At 49.7% G+C, this 21,083-nt stretch overlaps 1 protein-coding gene across 1 annotated transcript in view, besides 1 other annotated feature; it reads right to left on the reverse strand.

The window, feature by feature from the left end:
* NPHS1 (NPHS1 adhesion molecule, nephrin) overlaps positions 1–21,083 on the reverse strand; it is a 27,133-nt gene continuing 6,050 nt past the window's right edge. Inside the window, exons 12-29 of the mRNA NM_004646.4 lie at positions 20,637–20,823; positions 20,298–20,427; positions 19,997–20,169; positions 18,948–19,088; positions 18,732–18,872; positions 18,101–18,222; positions 17,008–17,179; positions 16,753–16,909; positions 16,344–16,495; positions 14,125–14,236; positions 13,866–14,047; positions 10,334–10,390; positions 6,272–6,391; positions 6,105–6,129; positions 5,925–6,000; positions 5,682–5,775; positions 5,473–5,585; positions 1–1,274 (exon numbers count right to left, since the gene is read on the reverse strand). Coding sequence (NP_004637.1) covers positions 1,143–1,274; positions 5,473–5,585; positions 5,682–5,775; positions 5,925–6,000; positions 6,105–6,129; positions 6,272–6,391; positions 10,334–10,390; positions 13,866–14,047; positions 14,125–14,236; positions 16,344–16,495; positions 16,753–16,909; positions 17,008–17,179; positions 18,101–18,222; positions 18,732–18,872; positions 18,948–19,088; positions 19,997–20,169; positions 20,298–20,427; positions 20,637–20,823 — 2,286 coding nt within the window. The 3' untranslated portion in view covers positions 1–1,142. The remainder of the gene's footprint in view (positions 1,275–5,472; positions 5,586–5,681; positions 5,776–5,924; positions 6,001–6,104; positions 6,130–6,271; positions 6,392–10,333; positions 10,391–13,865; positions 14,048–14,124; positions 14,237–16,343; positions 16,496–16,752; positions 16,910–17,007; positions 17,180–18,100; positions 18,223–18,731; positions 18,873–18,947; positions 19,089–19,996; positions 20,170–20,297; positions 20,428–20,636; positions 20,824–21,083) is intronic.
* Positions 19,963–20,215: a silencer, noted in NCBI's record as "fragment chr19:36336236-36336488 (GRCh37/hg19 assembly coordinates)". NCBI's record gives its function as "represses an EF-1alpha promoter that drives an FKBP-Casp9 reporter gene in an ReSE screen in HepG2 liver carcinoma cells {active_cell/tissue: HepG2}" and the evidence as "EXISTENCE:reporter gene assay evidence [ECO:0000049][PMID:32094911]".

Consider the following 21,083-nt stretch of genomic DNA (forward strand, 5'->3'; position numbering starts at 1 on the left):
CCTGTTTTTAAAATCACTTTTATTGAGATATCATTTATGTACAATAAAAATGCACCCATCTTAAGTGTAAAGTTCAATGAGTTTTGACAAATCTGTGCACCCGTGCAACCACCACCACAATCGTTATATAGAATATTTCCAACACCTCAGAAAGTTCTCCCATGCCTTTTTGCAGTCAACCCTCCTCTCATGGCCCCAGGAAACCTCTGCTGTGCTCTCTGCCACCGTAGATTAGTTTTGCCTATTTTAGAATTTCTATAAACGAAAGCACACACACAGTACATATTCTTTTCCTCTAGCTTCTTTTGATTGTCTGTTTATTTTAATGCTTATGGAGCATACTTATGTTTACATGTGTCATAGTTTATGCCTCCTGTGTTAGATAACTGTCGGAAATAATAAAATAATAGGTAGGATGCAACATGGATTCATAAATTCCACTTATTATTAGCTATTTCAGACGTCATGGAATGCAAAATGAACAGAGTTTTTCATATGTCTTTCCCCACTTCTGAAAACTTTACTTCATGAAGCACTTAGGGACCCTCAGAATAGCATTTTATTTTTTATTTTTATTTTATTTTTATTTTTTGAGACAGAATCTCGCTCTGTCGCCCAGGCTGGAGTGCAGTGGCGTGATCTCAGCTCACTGCAACCTCCGCCTCCTGGGTTCAAGCAATTCTCATGCATCAGCCTCCCAAGTAGCTGGGACTACAGGCATGCGCCACTACTCCTGGCTAATTTTTTATATTTTTAGTAGAAATGGAGTTTTACCATGTTGGCCAGGCTGGTCTCGAACTCCTGACCTCAGGTGATCCACCCGCCTCAGCCTCCCAAAGTGCTGGGATTATAGGCGTGAGTCACCGCACCCGGCAGCATTTCATTTTTGAGACGACGTTTACAATCTGCCCTGTCCTTTTGGAGAAGTTTAGTTTCTAAAGCCAACCCCAGGATGCACCTTGTTTCTACTCTGGTACCAGCTGAACCATCTCTGTCACTCAGCCCCCTCCATGTCCTCTCCTGACACCAAGTCCCTTTGGGTTTTATGGAGCTCACCTAACCAGCTCGGCCCAGGCTGTAATGAGAGAGACCAGTGGAGTGTAAATTCCTGCAGGTGCAGGACAATGGGGTTGAGAGGGCTCTTACACCAGATGTCCCCTCAGCTCGAAGGGCAGAGAATCGGGTTCCAGAGTGTCCAAGTCTCCGGCCACCTGGTCATAGATTCCTCTTGGATCCTGATATGTGTCTTCAGGCCAGTGGAGGTCCCAGGGTCCCTGACAGGCAAAAAGTGGAGTTAGAACCATGGAGAGATGCCCTGTAGGTCTTCATTGAAGATCTGGGGGATACATGCCCCTGCTTAACTTCCCAGAAAAAAGTGTTTTAGCTTTTACTAAAATCCCAACATATACAAAAAAGGAGTGTGATTATAATGAATGCTTATGATGAACCCCATGTGCTTATCACCTAACTTCAACAATATCAGGCTGGGCACGGTAGCTCATGCCTATAATTCCAGCACTTTGGGATGCCAAAGCAGGAGGATTGCTTGAGACCAGGAGTTCGAGACCAGCCTGGGCAACATAGTGAGATCCTGTATCTACAAAAAATAATTTTATTTTTCTTAGACAGGGTCTGGCTCTGTCACCCAGGCTGGAGTGCAATGGCACGATCTTAGCTCCCTGCAACCTCCACCTTCTGGGCTCAATCCATCCTCCCACTTCAGCCTCCCAAGTAGCTGGGACTACAGGCATGCATCACCACACCCAGCTAACTTTTGAATTTTTTTTTTTTTTAAAGACGAGGTTTCCATTGTGGCCCAGGCTGGTCTTGAACTCCTGAGTTCAATCGATCCACCCGTCTCAGCCTCCCAAAGTGCTGGGATTATAAGTCACTGGGATTATGAGCCACTGCACCGAGCCTATAAAAAATATTTTTAAAGAAATTAGCTAGGTGTGGTGGTGAGCGCCTATAGTCCTAGATACTCAGGAGGCTGAGGTAAGAGGATCGCTTGAGCCCCGGAGGTCAAGGCTGCAGTAAGCCATGATCATGCCACTGCACTCCCGCCTGGGTGACAGACTGAGACTATCTCAAAAAAAGAAAAAAAGAAAAAAGAAAAAACCAGTAGCAACCCTTGGTCAATTGATTTCTCTGTATTTCTATCTTGTTCCCCTCCCCGACTAACTGGATTATTTTGAAGCAAGCCCAAGATACCCAATGATTTCATGTTAGAAAAATAATGTAAATGTCAGAAATATAAAACCTTTAGGCCAAGCATGGTGACTCATGCCTGTAATCCTAGCATTTTGGGAGGCCAAGGCAGGTGGATCACTTGAGATCAGGATTCGAGACCAGCCTGGGCAATGGGCAAAACCCTGTCTCTACTAAAAATACAAAAATTAGCCGGGCATGATGGTGCATGCCTGTAATCCCAGCTACTTGGGAGGCTGAGGCAGGAGAATCGCTTGAACCTGGGAGGTGGAGGTTGCAGTGAGCTGAGATTGTGCTACTGCACTCCAGCCTGGGTTACAGAGCAAGCCTCCATCTCAAAAATAAATAAATAAATAAAATTTTTAAAAATGAAAACTTTAAAAGTCCATGTTATCAGGTATGGCAACTGTGGAATGTAAGTTATGATTATATTGTCCTATGAATTTCCAAAACAGTTCCCTAATCATAATAGAAAAACAAAACAAAGCAAAACCAAACAAACAACAACAACAAAAAGAACATGAATGGTAGCCCTAACTGGGGATGTATTTTGTTCTAGGGCTGGGAGAAAATGATTATTTTAGTTCAGCAAACTTTAGAGCAGATTGGCCCATGCTCCAAATATGGCCTGCCACCTGCTTTTTTATACTGCCCAAGAGCTAAGAATGGTTTTTATTTTTTTCTTTTTCTTTTTCTTTTTTTTTGAGACGGAGTCTTGGTTTGTTGCCCAGGCTGGAGTGCAGTGGCGCAATCTTGGCTCACTGCAACCTCCGCCTCCCGGGTTTAAGCGATTCTCCTGCCTAGCCTCCCGAGTAGGTGGGACTACAGGCGCCAGCCACCACACCCGGCTAACTTTTTGTATTTTTAGTAGAGACGGGGTTTCACCATGTTGGTCAGGCTGGTCTCAAACTTCTGACCTTGTGATCCGCCCGCCTTGGCCTCCCAAAATGCTGGGATTATAGGCATGAGCCACCGTGCCCGGCCTGGTTTTTCATTTTTTAATTGTTGGGAAAAAATGAAAAAAGATAACATTTGTGACATAGAAAAATTACATGAAGTTCAAATTACAGTGTCCAAAAATTAAGTTTTGTAGGAACATAGCCACACTCATTCATTTATGCATCGTCTATGGCTGCTTTTACTTTACGGTGGCAGAGTTTGTGTAGAGTTTGAGGAAGACCGTATGTCCCACACAGCCCAAAGCATTTACTACTATCCGGCCCTGTTCGGAAAAAGCGTGCAGCCTCCATCTACGCTTTAGAGAGTGCATATGGTCCAGCACCATGGACAGCGCTTTGCGCCATGCTGGTGAGGAGCTAGGATCTGACAACAGTCCCGGTATCGGAGGTCGTTCACAGAGACAGAAGGAAATCCTTGGCCCAGGAGGTGCCAGAGCATCAGCCAAGGCCACACAGGAAATCAGGGGTTCTGTCCCATCTCCCTAACTGTGCAGCAATGGGTGGGGATTGGCTGGTGGTCAAAGTGCCTGTCTGTTGTTTTTGCCTGTACAGCCACCATCCTCATTTCCCTGTGAGCTCTCTGTCCCTCTCCTACTCTCAGCCCAGTGACCTGAGTGGGGCTGGCCCCTACTCCCTGATCCCATGGTGAACTGGCCCAGGCCTCTCCTGTTAGCATATTCCATCCCCTGACTCAGGGATGTGTTCAGTGATGAGGATGTGACCCAAGCTAGACCAATTAAGTGTCAGCATTGGGCATTTGGGGCCACTGGAAAACAGGTATACTCTTTCTTTGAAGATTTCTAATCTCGTAGGATACAAATCTAGATTTTCTGGGAATATTTTTTCCCTTTCTTTTTTGAAACAGTCTCTCAGGCTGGAATGCAGTGGCACAATCAGGGCTCATGGCAGCCTCAACTTCCCTGGCTCAGGCATTCCTCCTACCTCAGCCTCCTGAGTAGCTGAGACCACAGGCATGCACCACCATGCCCAGTTAATTTTTTAAACTTTTTTTTTTTTTGAGACAGAGTCTTGCTCTGTTGCCCAGGCTGGAGTGCAGTGGCATGATCTCGGCTCACTGCAACCTCTGCCTCCTGGGTTCAAGCGATTCTCCTGCATCAGCCTCCCAAGTAGCCGGGATTACAAGTGTGTGCCACCACATCCAGATAATTTTTGCATTTTTTGTAGAAATGGGGTTTCACCATGTTGGCCAGGCTGGTCTCGAACTCTTGACCTCAGGTAATCCACCCACCTCAGCCTCTCAGAGTGCTGGGATTACTGGTGTGAGCCACCATGCTCGGCTTAACTTTTTTTTTTTTAAAGATGGGGTATTATTGTGTTGCCCAGGCTGGTCTCCAATACCTGGGCTCAAGCAATCCACCTACCTCAGCCTGCTGAGATTAGAGATATGAGCCGTGACCATGCCTAGCCATAAAAACATTTTTAGGGAAGAAATTCTGGGCCCAGCTGGGCCTGATGACAATTGTATGCCTTGATTTTTCAGTTGAATGGGCCCCCAAATTCTCTCTTTCTCTCTCTTTAACCAGTGGAGTAGATATGGCTAATTATCTTTAAAAATTCATGTCTACTTCCTTCCACAGTAGCAGAATTGCAGCAAGGCACATCACTGCTAAGCTAGACCACATTTCACAGCCTCCTTTGCCGTCAGATGTGACCATGTGACTCTCTTCCCACCAGGGGAGTGAGAGCAGAGTGGTGTGCACCATTTCTGGGCCTGGGCCACAAGGCAGGGTTGTGCCTCCTCCACATTCTTTCACCTTTTCCCATGGGTTGAACCCCCAGTGAACTGGCTCATTCATGTAGACTCGGTTGACTTGAGCAGGGCCACTCACGTCTGACTGAAAAAGAAATAGACTGCCTTCTTTTTTTCAGAGACAGGGTCTTGCTCTGTTGCCCAAGCTGGAGTGCAGTGGCACCATCATGGCTCACCGCAGCCTCCAACTCCTGAGCTCAAGGGATCCTCCTGGCTCAGCCTCCTGAGTAGCTGAGACTACAGGTGCACACCTCCATGCCTGGCTCATTTTAAAAAATGTTTTGTAGAGACAAGTCACTATATTGCCCAGGCTCGTCTCAAACTTATGGGCTCAAGCGATCCTCCTGCCTTGGCCTCCCAAAGTGTTGGGATTACAGGCATGGACCATCATGCCCAGCCGACTGTCTTTAAGCCACTGGATCATGGTCAGGCCTCTTTGTTACAGCAGCTAGCTGGCCCTAACTAATACAAGCAATAGGAGGTAGGCTCCCAGCACTAGCCAGGAAGGATGGTTGCTGATGCAAAGCTTCTCACCATCTGCACTTCATCGTAGAGGGGTCCCCAGGCTCCAGACGGGGGGTACGTTCTTTCTACCTCATCATACAAGTGCCCAGGGAAGGCCATATCCTCATCTTCACCTGTGAAACCTGGAGTTGGAGTGGAAGGGAGACACGATCAAGGCACCCAGTCCAGGCGTCGGGGGTACCTCTGAGTGAGGGAATCCTGACATGGTCCTAACTCACCTCGGGAATAAGACACCTCCTCCTGCGTCGGGGGCAGCTGGGGGCTGAAGTCCCTCAGGGAGCGGTAATACGGCTCTGCCTCTGTTGTGCTGACCTGTTCCCCACACGCAAAACAAACAAAGCCCTTTCCATCCTCTGACCCCACTGTGCCCGGAAGGGCAATGATCAACCTGATGCTAACGGCAGGGCTTCAGTCGCCGTCGGTGCCCTGATTGTGGGGTCACCAGGGCCACCCCCACTTACCGTGGAGCTCTGAGTGTCCCGCTCTCCTGTCCACTGGCTCTCCTCATATTCGTTCCTGACTCGGTCCTCTTCCGACCTTCCAGGATGAAGGTGTGGGGGGAAGTTGAGTGCTGCCCCCCGCCACCAGTCTCCCCCAAACCTCCCTCAGAGCCTTCTTTACAGAAAAATATCCCCACTTACCCTGCCTCTGTCTTCTCTGAGATGCCTGAAGGAAACAGGAATAAAGGGCTCAGTGACCCTATGCAAGCCCCCCACCCCGGCCCCAGGAAGACCTTCAGTATGCAGCAACCACAGGGTTCCCTATCACCCTCGGGTCTCCACCCTGGCAGGGAAGGGTCTCTCCTCACCCTCAGCAAGACGCCTGAGTCTCCGCTGCCAGAGGACCCCCCCGACACAGGAGGCATTGGAGAGGAGCAGAAGCCCCCCAAGAGCGAACAGCACAGGCAGCAGGGGCAGCCCCGAGGGTCCTAGGGGTGGAAGATACCCCTCAGTGAATCCCAGACAACAGGCTGTAGGCCAGGGGTGGGTCTCCCCGAGAAAGTGTAGCCCTGACCAAGTCCCTCCCCCAGGGTCAGAGAAACAGATGGGCAGAGGTCTCTGTGCCCACCCTTTCTGCCCACCCAAGGGCAGGTGGCTTCTTTCTTAAGTCAAGCCATTAGCAAAACTTCCTCCGTTTGCTTGAACTCTGCAAACTCAGAACGGAACTCTGGACTCAGGAGGGAGCTTCAGCTCGTTAGCTGGGCACTGAAGACTTTCTGTGGTCCAGCCTCTTCCCACGCCTCCAGCCATGCCCACCAAACTTAGACCCTGGTACTGGACTGTCCAGCCACACAAATCAACCACCAGCTGTTTCCAGAATCACTGAAGCAAATTCACACCTCAGAGCTTTGGAATAGTTAAGTGTCTGTCCTCAAATGTCCTTTCTTCTCAAGCAAACTTCTGTTTGCCTTTCAAATTCTATCTCAAGGTCAGGCGCTGCAGCACATGCCTGTAATCCCAGCATGTTGGGAGGTCAAGGTGGGAGAATCGCTTGAGCCTAGGAGCTCAAGACCAGCCTAGGCAACATAGTGAGGCTGATTCTTTACAAAAAAAATTAAAAATTTAGCAGCATGGTGGTGCATGTCTATAGTCCCAGCTACTCGGGACACTGAAGCAAGAGGATTGCTTGAACCTGGTAAGTCAAGGCTCCAGTGAGCTATGATAGCACCACTGCACTCCAGCCTGGGCAGCAGAGCAAGACCCTGCCTCTGAAAAAAAAATCCCATCTCAAGGACTTCTTTATTTTATTTTGTTTTTTAATTAAGACGGAGTTGGCTGGGCACGGTGGCTCACGCCTATAATCCCAGCACTCTGGGAGGCTGAGGGGTTGGATCACAAGGTCAGGAGTTCAAAACCAGCCTGGCCGATATGGTAAAACCCTGTCTCTACTAAAATACAAAAAATTAGCTGGGTGTGGTGGCAGGCACCTGTAGTCCCAGTTACTTGGGAGGCTGAGGCAGGGGAATCACTTGAACTGGGGAGGCAGAGGTTGCAGTGAGCCGAGATCACGCTACTGCACTCCAGCCTGGGTGACAGAATGAGACCCTGTCTCAAAAAAAAAAAAAAAAAAAAAAGAGTCTCACTCTTTCACCCAGGCTGGAGTGCAGTGGCATGATCTTGGCTCACTGCAACCTCCACCTGCAGGGTTCAAGCGATTCTTCTCCCTCAGCCTCCCAAGTAGCTGGGATTACAGGCGCATGCCACCACACCCGGCTAATTTTTTTTTTTTTTGTATTTTTAATAGAGACGGAGTTTCGCCATGTTGGACAGGCTGTTCTTGAACTCCTGGCTTCAAGTGGTCTGCCCACCTTGGCGTCCCAAAGTGCTGGCATTATAGGCGCGAGCCACCGTGCCCAGCCTCAAATGACTTCTTTCCACCAACTTCCATCCCAGCCAATATCAGGCTGACTTGGCTGCTATATCCCTGAGGACAAGGCTGAACCCCTCTAAGTAGGCATCTGTTGGGCGGGCAATCTCCCCTGTCTTCTACTAATAGCACTTTTTTCCCCTGGGGAGAACAGCCACTCCCCAATCTCAGTCTTGGGTTCAGGCAGGACTCCACAGTGGGCACATGGCCCGGCCTGGAAAATAAGAGTCTCCATTCCTCTCTCCACAGTGATTGTTTAGACACAGGCATTTGACCCAACGTGTGTTTTTAACAAAACATTTAGGACAATTCTACTAGCTGTCAAGAAGATGGAGGTGGAGGAGGGCTTCTCTGCCCCTCTGATTGAAGAAACTCAGAAAGAAGCCACCACAGATGAAGGCAAAGTTGAGAGAGGGTGAGAAACAGATCGCTGGTGAGATTTTTGAGCACCTGAAAGTGGCCACACTTGGAATTTTTTATTTCATATACCAAGACTTTTTCTTTTTTTTCTTGAGACAGGGTCTCAACTCTGTTGCCCAGGCTGCAGTGCAGTGGCGTGAGCTCGGCTCATTGAAGGCTCAACCTCCTGGGCTCAATCAATCCTCCCGCATCAGCCTCCTGAGTAGCTGGGACTGCAGGCATGCACTGCCATGCCTGGCTAATTTTTTTTGTTTTTGTTTTATAGAGATGGGGTTTCACCATGTTGCCCAGGTTTGTCTCCAACGTCTGGGCTCAAGTGATCTACCTGCCTCAGCCTCCCAAAGTTCCGGGATTATAGGCATGAGCCACTGTGCCCAGCCAAGCCATTCTTTTTCGTGTTGACAAAACAGCTGCATTTCTGTCACTTGCAACCTTTTTCTCGGGCTCTGAAGGGGATTTTTTTGCCAAATGGTTGCAATCATCTCCCAGTAGTCACATCCTTGAGTGCGGGGCCTTTCCACACTGACTCTGTGTTGAGCCATGTGACTTGCTTTGGCCAATGAGACACAACTATGACGGAATCAGCTAGTAAATTGCTGCTTTTGACCCCCGTGACCACCTCCATGTGAAAAAGTCAAGAAGAGACACGCGCCCAGTTATCTCCATTGTTCCAACCAAGAGCCAGATGACTATCAGAAGTGTGGGAAGGGGGCAACCCTAGACCACCCAGTCCAGTGGAGCTGCCAGCTGACTGCAGAGATGATTTAAGCCAGCCCAGACCAGCACTGTTCCGCCAGACTCAGAATCATGAGGAAGAATGTTGCTATAAGCACCCATGTTTGGGGTGGTTCATTATACAGCAAAAGCTAACTGATGCAGGCTTCTTACAGGACATGGAGTGAGCTAATTCTTACGGAATTAAACTAAATTTGGAAGAGAAGAAAATTTATCACTCCAGGCAAGAGGAAGATCTAAGAAAAAAAAAATTGGCCAGATGCAGTGGCTCACGCCTGTAATCCCAGCACTTTGGGAGGCTGAGGTGGGTGAATCATGAGGTCAGGAGTTAAAGACCATCCTGGCTAACGCGGTGAAACCTCATCTCTACTAAAAATACAAAAAATTAGCTGGGCGTGTTGGCACGTGCCTGTAGTCCCAGCTACTCGGGAGGCTGAGGCAGGAGAGGAAGCCGGGAGGTGGAGATAGCAGTCAGCCGAGATCGCACCACTGCACTCCAGCCTGGGCAACAAACAGAGCAAGAATCCATCTCAAAAAATAAAAAAATAAAAAAAAAAAATGCCGAGTGCCGTAGCTCATGCCTGTTATCCCAGCACTTTGGGAAGCTGAGGCAGGCAGATCACTTGAGGTCGGGAGTTCGAGACCAGCCTGGCCAACATGGTGAAACCCCGTCCCTACTAAAAAAGTACAACAATTAGCCAGGTGTGGTGGCAGGTGCCTGTAATCCCAGCAACTCGGGAGGCTAAGGCAAAAGAATCGCTTGAACCTGGGAGGTGGAGGTTGCAGTGAGCCAAGATTTTGCCACTTCACTCCAGCCTGGGCAACAGAATGAGACTCTGTCTCAAAAAAAAAAAAAAAAAAAAGAAAGAAAGAAAGAAAAAAGAGGAAGCTCTAAGGAGTCTGCAAGTCTGCAATTCTGCAGGGACAGAACTAAGTCTTTTTTTTTTTTTTTTTTTTTTTTGAGATAGGGTCTCCCTCTGTTGCCAAGGCTGGAGTGCAGTGGCTCAGTCATAGCTCACTGCATCCTCCAACTCCTGGGCTTATGCAATCCTCCCACCTCAGCCTTCTGAGTAGTTGGGACTACAGGCACATGCCACTACACCCAGCTATTTTTTATTTTTGCAAAGATGGAGTCTTGCTATGTTGCCCAAGCTGGTCTCAAACTCCTGGGCTCAAGTGATCACATGCCTTGGCCTCCCAAAGTGTTGGGATTACAGGCGTGAGCGACTGAGCTTGGCCAGAACTAAGTCGTTAAGCAGCTGTGACTACAAGCAGAGGAGGTAGGGTCAGAGACCAGGAGGTTCCATTCTCAGGGGAGCCGGGAGGGATCAGGGGACTGAGGACTTGCCTGAAGGTGGCTCTGTGGGCAGCTGGTCTTCAGGTTCTCCAGAAGGCTGGTGGAGACCTGGGGGGTGGATATACAGATTGTGACTTAACACTAAGAATCTGAGATAAGCTTTAAATATTTCTCAGCCTCTTCTTAAGCCTATTAGATTCATGGGAACTGGTATATGACTGCTTAAGAATATTTCAAAGAGAGCTAGAAATTGCTGATAATAATGACAATACTATTAATAGCAATTCTAATGGTAACGCTAATGCTAAGAATAATTTGTTTTTTGAGACTGAACCTCTCTCTATTGCCCAGGCTGGAGTGCAGTGGCGCAATCTCAGCTCACTGAAACCTCTGCCTCCCGGGTTCAAGCAATTCTCCTGCCTCAGCCTCCCAAGTAGCTGGGACTACAGGCACCTGCCACTATGCCTGGCTAATTTTTTGTATTTTTAGTAGAGATGGGGTTTCACCATGTTGGCCAGGCTAGTCTCGAACTCCTGACCTCGTGATTCGCCCACCTCGGCCTTCCAGAGTGCTGGGATTACAGGCGTGAGCCACTGCGCCTGGCCATTTTTTTTTTTTTAAAGAGACAGGGTCTCACTCTGTCGCTCAGGCTGGAGTGCAGTGGTATGATCATAGCTCACTGCAGCCTCGACCTCCTGGGTTCAAGCTATCCTCCCGCCTCAGACTCCTGATTAGCTGGGACTACAGGCATGCATCACCATGCCTGGCCCAAAAATTAACTGTTGATGAGCACTTTCGGTGTGCAAGGTCCTTTTCACCCGAATTATCAATTTGTTGAGTTAACCAAAAAAGACTTTGGGCTCTCGATCCCTTAATAAAGGTACAAGTTCTAAAGCAAAGGAGGCAAGTGTCATACTTTATGTTTTAGTGTTCAAAGGGAAGACTGGAGTGGGGTGGGGGGAAGAGCAGAGAAGATTGTAGGGGTGAAAAAGTGTCCTTACTTCCATTGAGAAAAAGCCTGCTCTGTCAGGAAGAGGAAAACAGAAAGGAGAAGCTTGCGGCCAGGAGTGGTGGCACACGTCTGTAATCCCAGCACTTTGAGAGACTGAGGCAGGTGGATCACCTGAGGTTAGGACTTTGAGACCAGCCTGGCCAACATGGTGAAACCCTGTCTCTACTAAAAAATACAAAAATTAGCCAGGCGTGGTGGTATGCACCTGTAATCCCAGCTACTTGGAAGGCTAAGGCAGGAGAATTGCTTGAACCTGGGAGGCAGAGGTTGCAGTGAGCCGAGATCATGCCACTGTACTCCAGCCTGAGTGACAGAGCAAGATTCCATTGCAAAAAAAAAAAAAAAGAAAGAAAAGAAAAGAAAAGAAAGAAAGAAAGAAAGAAAGAAAGAAAGAAAGAAAGAAAGAAAAATAAACTGAGCCACAAAGATCTGTGCTATATATTTTTAGAAACTGAGACACTTGCCTATGGTCACACAACTAAGAGGTAGCAGAGAGGGGATTTGAACCCAAGCTTCTCTGGACCAGGCTCTGAAGGATTTACCACTACAATACTGTGCCTATCAGAATTGTAACATATTCATCATATTCAAGGAATTTGTCCTTCTCATCCAACTTGCTGAATTTATTGGAATAAAGTTATCCATAATATTCCCTAATTATCCTCTTAATGTCTGTGGAGTCTGTGGTAACATCCCTTCTTCCATTCCTGTTATTGGTAACTTGTATTTTCTCCCTTTTATTTGTCTTAATCAGATTTATAAATGTTATTGATTTTTTTCAAATAACCAGCTTCTGGTTTCATTGATTTTCTCAATTGTTTTTCTGTTTTCTAATTCATTCATTTCTGCTCTTACCATTATTATTTTCTTCTTTCTGTTTACTTTGGGTTTAATTTGTTCGTCTTTTATTAGCTTCTTTCTTTCTCTCTCTCTCTCTCTCTCTCTTTCTTTCTTTAGATGGAGTTTTGCTCTTGTTGCCCAGGCTGGAGTACAATGGCACCATCTCTGCTCACTGCAACCTCTGCCTCCCAGGTTCAAGTGATTCTCTTGCCTCAGCCTCCCAAGTAACTGGGATTACAGGCATGTGCCACCACACCCGGCTAATTTTGTATTTTCAGTAGAGACAGGGTTTTTCCATGTTGGTCAGGCTGGTCTCAAACTCCCGACCTCAAGTAATACACCCGCCTTGGCCTCTCAAAGTGCTGGGATTACAGGCATGAGCCACAGTTTCTTAAGATGAAAACTTAGAATATGCATTTGAGGTTATTCTCTTAAAAAAAAAAAAAAAAAAAAAACGAAAACTAGTCCAGTCGTGGTGGCTCACACCTGTAATCCCAACACTTTGGGAGACCGAAGCTGGTGGATCACCTGAGGTCAGGAGTTCGAGATCAGCCTGGACAACATGGTGAAACCCTGTCTCTACTAAAAAATACAAAAAATTACAGGTGCATGCCTGTAATCCCAGCTACTTGGGAGGCTGAGGCAGGAAAATTGCTCAAACCCAGGAGGCGGGGGTTGCAGTGAGCCGAGACGGCACCATTGCACTCCACCCTGGGCAACAAGAACAAAACTGCGTCTCAGAACAAAAACAAACAAACAAAAAGTGGCCAAGCGTGGTGGCTCACACCTGTAATCTCAGCATTTTGGGAGGCCAAGGCAGGTGGATCACCTGAGGTCAGGAGTTCAAGACCAGCCTGGCCAACATGGCGAAACCCCGTCTCTACTAAAAATACTAAAATTAGCTGGGCATGGTGGCACTTGCCTGTAATCCCAGCTACTTAGGAGGCTGAGGCAGGAGAATCGCTTGAACCCGGGAGGCGGAGGTTGTAGTGAGCCAAGATCATGCCACTGCACTCCAGCCTGGGTGGCAGAGTGAGACTCCATCTCAAAAATAAAAAATAAGGCCGCGCATGGTGGCTCAGGCCTATGATTCTAGCACTTTGGGAGGCCAAGGTGAGTGGATCACAAGGTCAGGTGTTCGAGACCAGCCTGACCAACATGGTGAAACCCCGTCTCTATTAAGAATACAAAATTAGCTGGGGGTGGTGGCACATGCCTGTAATCCCAGTTACTCAGAAGACTGAGTCAAGAGAATTGCTTGAACCCAGGAGATGAAGGTTGCAGTGAGCCAAGATCACACCATTGCACTCCAGCCTGGGCAACAAGAGTGAAACTCCATCTCAAAAAAATAAAAAAAAATTAAATAATTAAATAAAATAAAAAACTAAAATAAGCACTTAATGCTATAAATTTCCCTCTAAGTACTGCTTTAACTGCAACCTCAAATTTTTATATGTTTTCATTTTCATTTAATTCAAACTATTTTCTAATTTCCCTTGGTCATTAATCACATTCAGATAGTATGGGTTGTGGTTAACGGTTGGTCTCAAGTTCATCTGCCTGAGTTTCAATCTCATCTTTATCTTTTACTAGTTGTGTGACCTTGGACAATTTGCTTAACAGCTATAGGCCTCAGTAACTCATCATAAAAGGGGAATAGTATTGACTTCACCATACTACCCTACACATCCTCTGAGGAATACTCCAACCTGCCCAAGCCTCCCTTCCCACCTGGGGTAGTGATGGGAAGCTGGGTCCCTTTGTCAGCCAGTCCACTGTCCCCCAAGGCATTACTGGCCAGCAGCCAGACCCTGTATCTTGTAGAAGGCTGTAGACCAGTCAGCGTGAAGGTGGTGGCCTGGGGTGGTACGACATCCACATAGTGGAACCCTGGAGTCCCCAGGGCCTCATACCTGCAGGACAGGGGGATAGTAAATTCAGGGAAGTGCCCTAGCCCATTCCCTTCCCTCCTGCCTCGACAAGGACCCACCTGATGCAGAACCTCTGTGGCAGGCCCCCATCAAAGCCAGGCTTCCACTCCAGCCCCACGGAGTGTGGGGTCAGACTCACAACCTTTAATCCTGATGGAGGGTCAGGGCGGCCTATGGGGAGAAAGATGGGAAAGCAGTCAGAGGATACAAAAGAATTCCAGAAGATTCTGTCCAGGTTTTCCCTAGGAATGATTTTAAATATACAATCGCTTCTCATTGTTCATAGCATACTCATGTTCTGTAAGGTCATGGTGAACACTGCTCTGGCAAACACCAAACTGTCCCTGTAATCCCAGTACTTTGTGAGACCAAGTCTGAAAGATGCTTGAGCCCAGGAGTTCGAGACCAGCCTGGGCAACATAGCAAGACCCTGTCTCAAATTAAACATTAAAATAAAAAATAATTTTAAAAAGAAGTAAGTGAAAACAAAACCAAAAGAAACAGCAAAAAAATTCAAGACCAAATGGTTACTTCTATGGAAAATGAAGGGTTAAGTTTCTTTCTTTTTTTTTTTTTCTTTTTTTTTAGATGGAGTTTCACTCTTATTGCCCAGGCTGGAGTGTAGTGGTGCAATCTTGGCTCACTGCAACCTCCACCTCCTGGGTTCAAGCAATTCTCCTGCCTCAGCCTCCCGAGTAGCTGGATTACAGGTGCCCGCCACCATGCCCAGCTAATTTTTCATATTTTTAGTAGAGATGGGGTTTCACTATGTTGGCCAGGCTTGTCTCGAACTCCTGACCTCAGGTGATCCACCCGCCTTGGCCTCCCAAAATGCTGGGATTACAGGCATGAGCCACCGCGCCTGGCATGGTTAGGTTTCTTTTCTTTTTTTTTTCTTTTCCTTTTTTTCTTTTTTGAGATGGAGTCTCGCTGTGTCACCCAGGCTGGAGTGCAGTGGTGCGATCTTGACTCATTGCAAGCTCTGCCTCCTGGGTTCACGCCATTCTCCTGCCTCAGCCTCCCGAGTAGCTGGGACTACAGGTGCCCGCCACCATGCCCGGCTAATTTTCTGTATTTTTAGTACAGACGGGTTTTCACTATGTTAGCCAGGATGGTCTCGATCTCCTGACCTCGTGATCCACCCGCCTCGGCCTCCCAAAGTGCTGGGATTACAGGTGTGAGCCACTGCACCCGGCAGTTAGGTTTCTTTAAACGTCTCATCATAGCATTTGCGTCAAGCAATCAATACATGATTTTTTTTTTTTTTTTTGAGACAGAGTCTTGCTCTGTCGCCCAGGCTGGAGTGCGGTGGCGCGAACTCAGCTCACTGCAACCTCCACCTCCTGGGTTCAAACAATTCTTCTGCCTCAGCCTCCCGAGTAACTGGGATTACAAGCGCATGCCATCACGCCCGGCTTTTTTTTTTTTTTTTTAAGTAGAGATGGGGTTTCACCATATTGGTCAGGCTGACCTTGTGATCTGCCCGCCTCAGCCTCCCAAAGTGCTGGGATTACAGGCATGAGCCACCACGCCTGACTAATCCTGGTATTTTCATACTACTGTTAGGAAGAGAAAGAATTCTGTTTCCTCTGGGAATTCTAACAGACCACTGTGAGGGCCCTTAGAATAAAGCCAACACAGAGACATGCAGACGTAAGAATGAAGAGGGCTGGTCATCACACCTGTAATCCCACCACTTTGGGAGGCTGAGGCGGGCAGATCACCTGAGGTCAGGAGACCAGCCTGGCCAACATGGTGAAACCCCGTCTCTACTAGAAATACAAAAATTAGCTGGGTGTGGTGGCGGGCGCCTGTAATCTCAGCTACTCGGGAGGCTGAGATGAGAGAATTGCTTGAATCCAGGAGGCAGAGGTTGCAGTGAGCCAAGATCGCGCCATCGCACTCCAGCCTGGGTGACAAGAGTGAATCTCCATTTCAACAACAACAACAACAACAACAACAACAAAAAGAATGGAGAGTTGCTGATGGCAGCTGAACCTAGATCCAGAAACCCCTGAAAATCTATTTTTCAGTTACTTGAGCTAACAAGTACCCCCTCTCCATCTTTTTTCTGTTCTTTTCTTTTTCTTTTGCCTTTGTTGTGGGTCTTCCTGAAGATCCAGTCTCCATTAGGATTTTCAGGGCAGGCAAAAACTCCATCCTCACACATACACAGAACTTCCGGTTTCAGAAACATGGGCAGCCCAGGGCCAATCAGGGATGTGGGAATGGATCCAGGGAGCACCCCCTCCCCAACACCCTCACAGCCCCTCCATACTGATGCTGACAAGTTGAATGTTGGTTTGGTCCGAGCCAAGGGCGTTGGTGGCTGTACATGTGAAGAGGGCGTAATCCTGGGCGGCAGACACGTTGGCAATGGTCAGGAGGCTGCTGTGGACACCACCCTGGTGGTATGTGTGCTCCGTGTACCTAGAGAGAAGGTAGGGCACCACTCACCCTTCCATTCACCCAACCACTTATGCTTGGAATCATCTATGCATCCATCCATTAATGTAACCGTCTGCCTATCTATCCATTCATCCATTTATCTTTTCATCCACTCAACCATTCACTCACTCATTCCTCCACCCATTCGTCTTCCTTCTCTGCAGGGACTCAGGGAGGGGAAGTGGGGCTGGAGGTCCAGACCTGGGGCTGGAGTGCTGCCTGGCTGGGCTTGGGCTCACCTGGGATCTTGGAGATCCAGAGGGACCCCGTTTTTTGTCCAAGTGAAAACGATGTTGGGGACACCTCGGGCACGGCAGTGGAGGGTGGCAGAACTGGTGCTGTCTCCAGCTGCAGCCACCTTAGTTAGGGGAGTGGGGTGCTCCACCTGGGGGGCAACTGGGAGGGGATGGGCAGTCAACATGAGCTATGTGGGAGACATGAGGGCTGTGGGTTCAGTGGCAGGTCTTGAAGTCAGGTGTTTGGGTAATACCCACATCTGACAACAAGACGGAGCAGCCGTCGTGCTGGAGGCGCCACCCCATTGTCCACAATGCACTGGTAAGCGCCAGCCTGGGCCAGTTTGGCATGGTGAATCCGCAGGCGCCCCGTTGGTCCCCTGGATATCTTCTCCATGTCATCCAGGCTCTGGTCCTCCTCATCTTCTCCCTGGAGGCCCAAGAGTCCAGAATTGGCCTCCCAGTCTAGCCCCAGATCCATCACTGCCCAAATTGTCCCTTCTGTAGCCTCATTCTCCTAGCCACAATCACCCTCCACAGAGGTATTGAAGAAAAAAAAATTCTCCTGTCATCCATCTATCCATTTACTCAATCCATCTTTTCATCCACCAATCCAGGCAACCACCTACCCATCCATTCACCCAACCACTTATGCTTGGAACCATCTATCCGTCCATCCATTCATTTATCCATCTGCTTATCTCTCCATTCATCCATTTATCTTTCCATCCACTCATCGGTTCACTCACTCATTCCTCCACCCATTTGTCTTCCTTCTCTGCACCCATGTATCCACCCCTGTAGCTCTCCACCCATTCACTCAACTATTCACTCACGCTTGCACACCCATAAATACATGCATCTGTTCAGACATTTACCCAGCTACCTATTTATTCATCTTTCCATTGATCTACCCACCCATCCATTCATCAATTCATCCATCATCCTTCCATAGATATCTTTCCTCTGATGGTGTATCCGTCCATCATCTACCCTCTATCCACTGATTTTTCTCCTTCAATCATCTTCCCACCCATCCACTCACCCATTTATCCATCCTTTCACTTGTCCATCTGTTCCTCCATCCACTCACTCATTCATCCACCTGTTCATCCACTTACCTACCTTTTGACCTATCTATCCATCTACCTACCCACTCGCCTGGCTGTCTAGCCATTTATCCATGCATTCATTTTGCCACCAACAGTTATTCATTCTGGGAGCATGCCCTGGCGAGTATATAGTTATAAGGGTCATACAGATGTATGTGGTCCCCACTCCCAAGGAACTCACAGTCAAGAAACCACAACCCCTTGACCCCACCTCTATTCACCAAAGGCTGGATCCTCACCAGTCTCTCCCAGTTGAACATGCCCGGGAGGATGGGATTGGCATCGACAGTGCAGACTATGTCCACAGAACCCCCGACGTTCACCTCAGTGGGGTCCTGGAGGGCACGGATGGTGGGAGCATCTGGTGGAAGGCAGAGGCTTGGGGAAGACACTTGGGCCCAGACAGGTCTGGGTGTGAGAGGGCCCCAGGTGGGAGGGATGTCTTAGGGGTTCCAGGAAAGTTATGGGTGTGGACACAATCTGCCCTTAATACCAAAGGGTTGGAGGAGAGTTCTCAAGGTTGGTGAGGTTGTCTCCACCCTCCACTATGCCTCTGTGATAATTAGAGTGAGTTGAGTGGGCTTCCAGAATTGTGTGTGTAGCAGGGCTTATACAGTGGGCTCTCATTCCTGACGGGAGCAGCTTCCGTGTCTAGGCGGGCACCCTCTCTGGGCAGAGATTCCACACTGGGTCTCTCTAGTGGGAGGGGTTCCGCAGTGGGCGTGGTTACACCGCGGCTGGGACTTCCAGAACGGGAGGGTTCCAGGATGGGTGGCTATCCCTGGGTGGGCGGAGCTCCCACAATGAGGAGACTCCACAATGGGCAAGGTTCCTTGGGTGGGTGTGGTTTCCATGGTGGGCGGGGCTCACAGTGCACGTCCAGCCGCAGCCGCGCTTCCGCGGTGCCCTCAGAGTTCTGGCAGTGCAGCTGATAGAGGCCGTCGTCCGCGCGGGTCACATTCCACAGATGCAGAGCCCCGCTGGACAGGATGCGATGCCGGGGGCCGCCCGCTGGGGAAGGCCAGAATAAGGGACCTGGCAGGACCTCCCATCCCCGGGACCCCTCCCCATGACCACTTCCCTCACCTGGACTGAGGCGATAGCCGCGGAAGGTCCAGTTGAAGGCCTCGGGGGCGGGGTTAGCGGACACGGACACGGGCAGCAACGCCTCGCCCTGCTCCACCGCGGTCACCACCAGCACCTGCTCCCCCAGGAACTCTGGACGGTCTTCAGAGGGGGCGCCGCAGGGAGTCAAGATTGTTGTTAAGGTTAGGGTCAAGGACAGATTGGAGATCAGGCACAGGTTCAAGGGTTAAAGTTGGGGTCACGACGGGGTTTAAGGTTGTGGACAAGGTAACAAGTTCAGAGCTAAGCTCAGGGGTAAGGTTCGGGATAGAAGTTAGAATACAGTTTAGGAAAAGAGCAGAAGCCAGGGTCAGTTTGAAGGATGGAAACAGGAGTCATGAGGGGGGTTAGGAGAGAGGACAAATGCAAGATGGGAGGAGGCAGGATAGGAGTTGGCCCAGGACCACGGGTCAGGATGAAGGTCGGGAGTTTCAAGTTTCAGGATGGGGTTAATGATAGAGTGATAGTGTCAAAGCAAAGACCCAGGCCAGGTGCAGTGGCTCACGCCTATAATCCCAGCACTTTGGGAGGCCAAGGCAGGAGGATCACTTGAGTCAAGGTGTTCAAGATCGGCCCGGGCAACATAGAGTAATGCCATCTCTATTTAAAATTAAAAGTACAAAAAATCAGCCTAGCATAGTGGCACGCGCCTGTAATCCCAGCACTTTGAGAGGCCAACGCAGGAGAACTGCTTGAGCCCAGGGGTTCAAGACCAGCCTGGGCAACATAGTGAGACCCCGTTGCTACAAAAAGTAAAAATAAACTAGCGAAGCGTGGTAGCGCACACCTGTAGTCTCAGCTACTCGGGAGGCTGAGGTGGGAGTATCACTTGAGCTCAGGAGTTGGAGACTGCAGTGACCTATGATTGCGTCACTGCATTGCAGCCTGAGCGACAAAAAATGAAAGAGAGAGAGAGAGAGAAGAGAAAAAGAAGGAAAAAAAGGTAAGACCCAAGGAGTAGTTTAGGGTCAAGAAGGCATCGAGAGGGGCTTTCAGGCCGGGGCACATACACAGTACGTTGAGGCGATAGAAGGAGCTCACGGTTTCGCGGAGCTCGGCGCTGTGGGCGCGGCAGGTCACGCGCTGGCCATGATCGCGGGATGACACTTGCAGAAGGACGCTCCTGGCGGCGGCGGAGCCTTTGAATGGGGCTCTCCGGGGTGGGGCGGCCACGCCCTCCAGCCTGTGGAACCGGGGTCAAGCCAGGGCTGCGAGCGGAGCCAGAGGCTGGAGAGGCACTAGGCGGGGGCGGGACATGCGTGGAGGGGGCGAGGCCAGACCAGAGAGGGGAGGGATCCCTCGCACTCCCACCTCTCCCCTTCCTTGTCCCAGGACAAGTTGACCGGCGGATTGCTGCTGACGCTGACGCATGTCAAGTTTAAGGCGTCTCCCGGGCGCAGTGCGGATGCGTTGGCCAGGATCGTCACGTTAGTTGGGGGAACTGGGAGACGGGGTTGGAGGAGCGAGACTCAGAGGTTAGGGGCGGCCTGGTCTGCGTCCACCCCGCCTGCACCCCAGGCTCCGCCCAGTCTCGGGTCCCCCACCCCGCCTCCGCCCGCTTTCCCCGGGTCCAGGGTTCGCTGGGTCCCTGCCCCACCTGGCTCTGTCCCTCCCGCCCCGCCCCCGGGCCTCAGCAGTGCGAGCCCTCACACTGCACCGCCAGCTGCGTGGACGCGCTGAGCTGTCCAGCCTTGCACGTGAACTTGGCCTGGTTGTCCGACGGCCCTGTGACCAGCACCAGCTCTCGGGAGAAGGTGCTCCCAGATTTCTCCACGCTGCCGAGATGCACGCGCCGCGACTCCTGCGGCAGCCGCGACTCGGTCACGGTGCGCGAGTCCTACGGGCCGGGAGTGACTGGGGTTCGCAGGCAGCCCTGCCGCTTCCACCAACCCCCAACCCCCCTACCCTGCCCACTGGGTTGGTGCCGCCAGCCCAAACAAAGCCTTTTTCTGATAAGGAGAAGCACTCTCATCAGCACCACCCCCCTAGGGCAAAGCAGTGGGGAGTGGAACTGAGTGACCCCCTCCCTGGAGTCTCTCCCGCCTCCCCGAGTCCCTGTGCATGGCAGTTTTGGGGATCTGAATCCGCCTTCTGTCC

This window comes from Homo sapiens, chromosome 19 (genome assembly GCF_000001405.40).
Source record: "Homo sapiens chromosome 19, GRCh38.p14 Primary Assembly".
Classification (NCBI taxonomy): domain Eukaryota; kingdom Metazoa; phylum Chordata; class Mammalia; order Primates; family Hominidae; genus Homo; species Homo sapiens.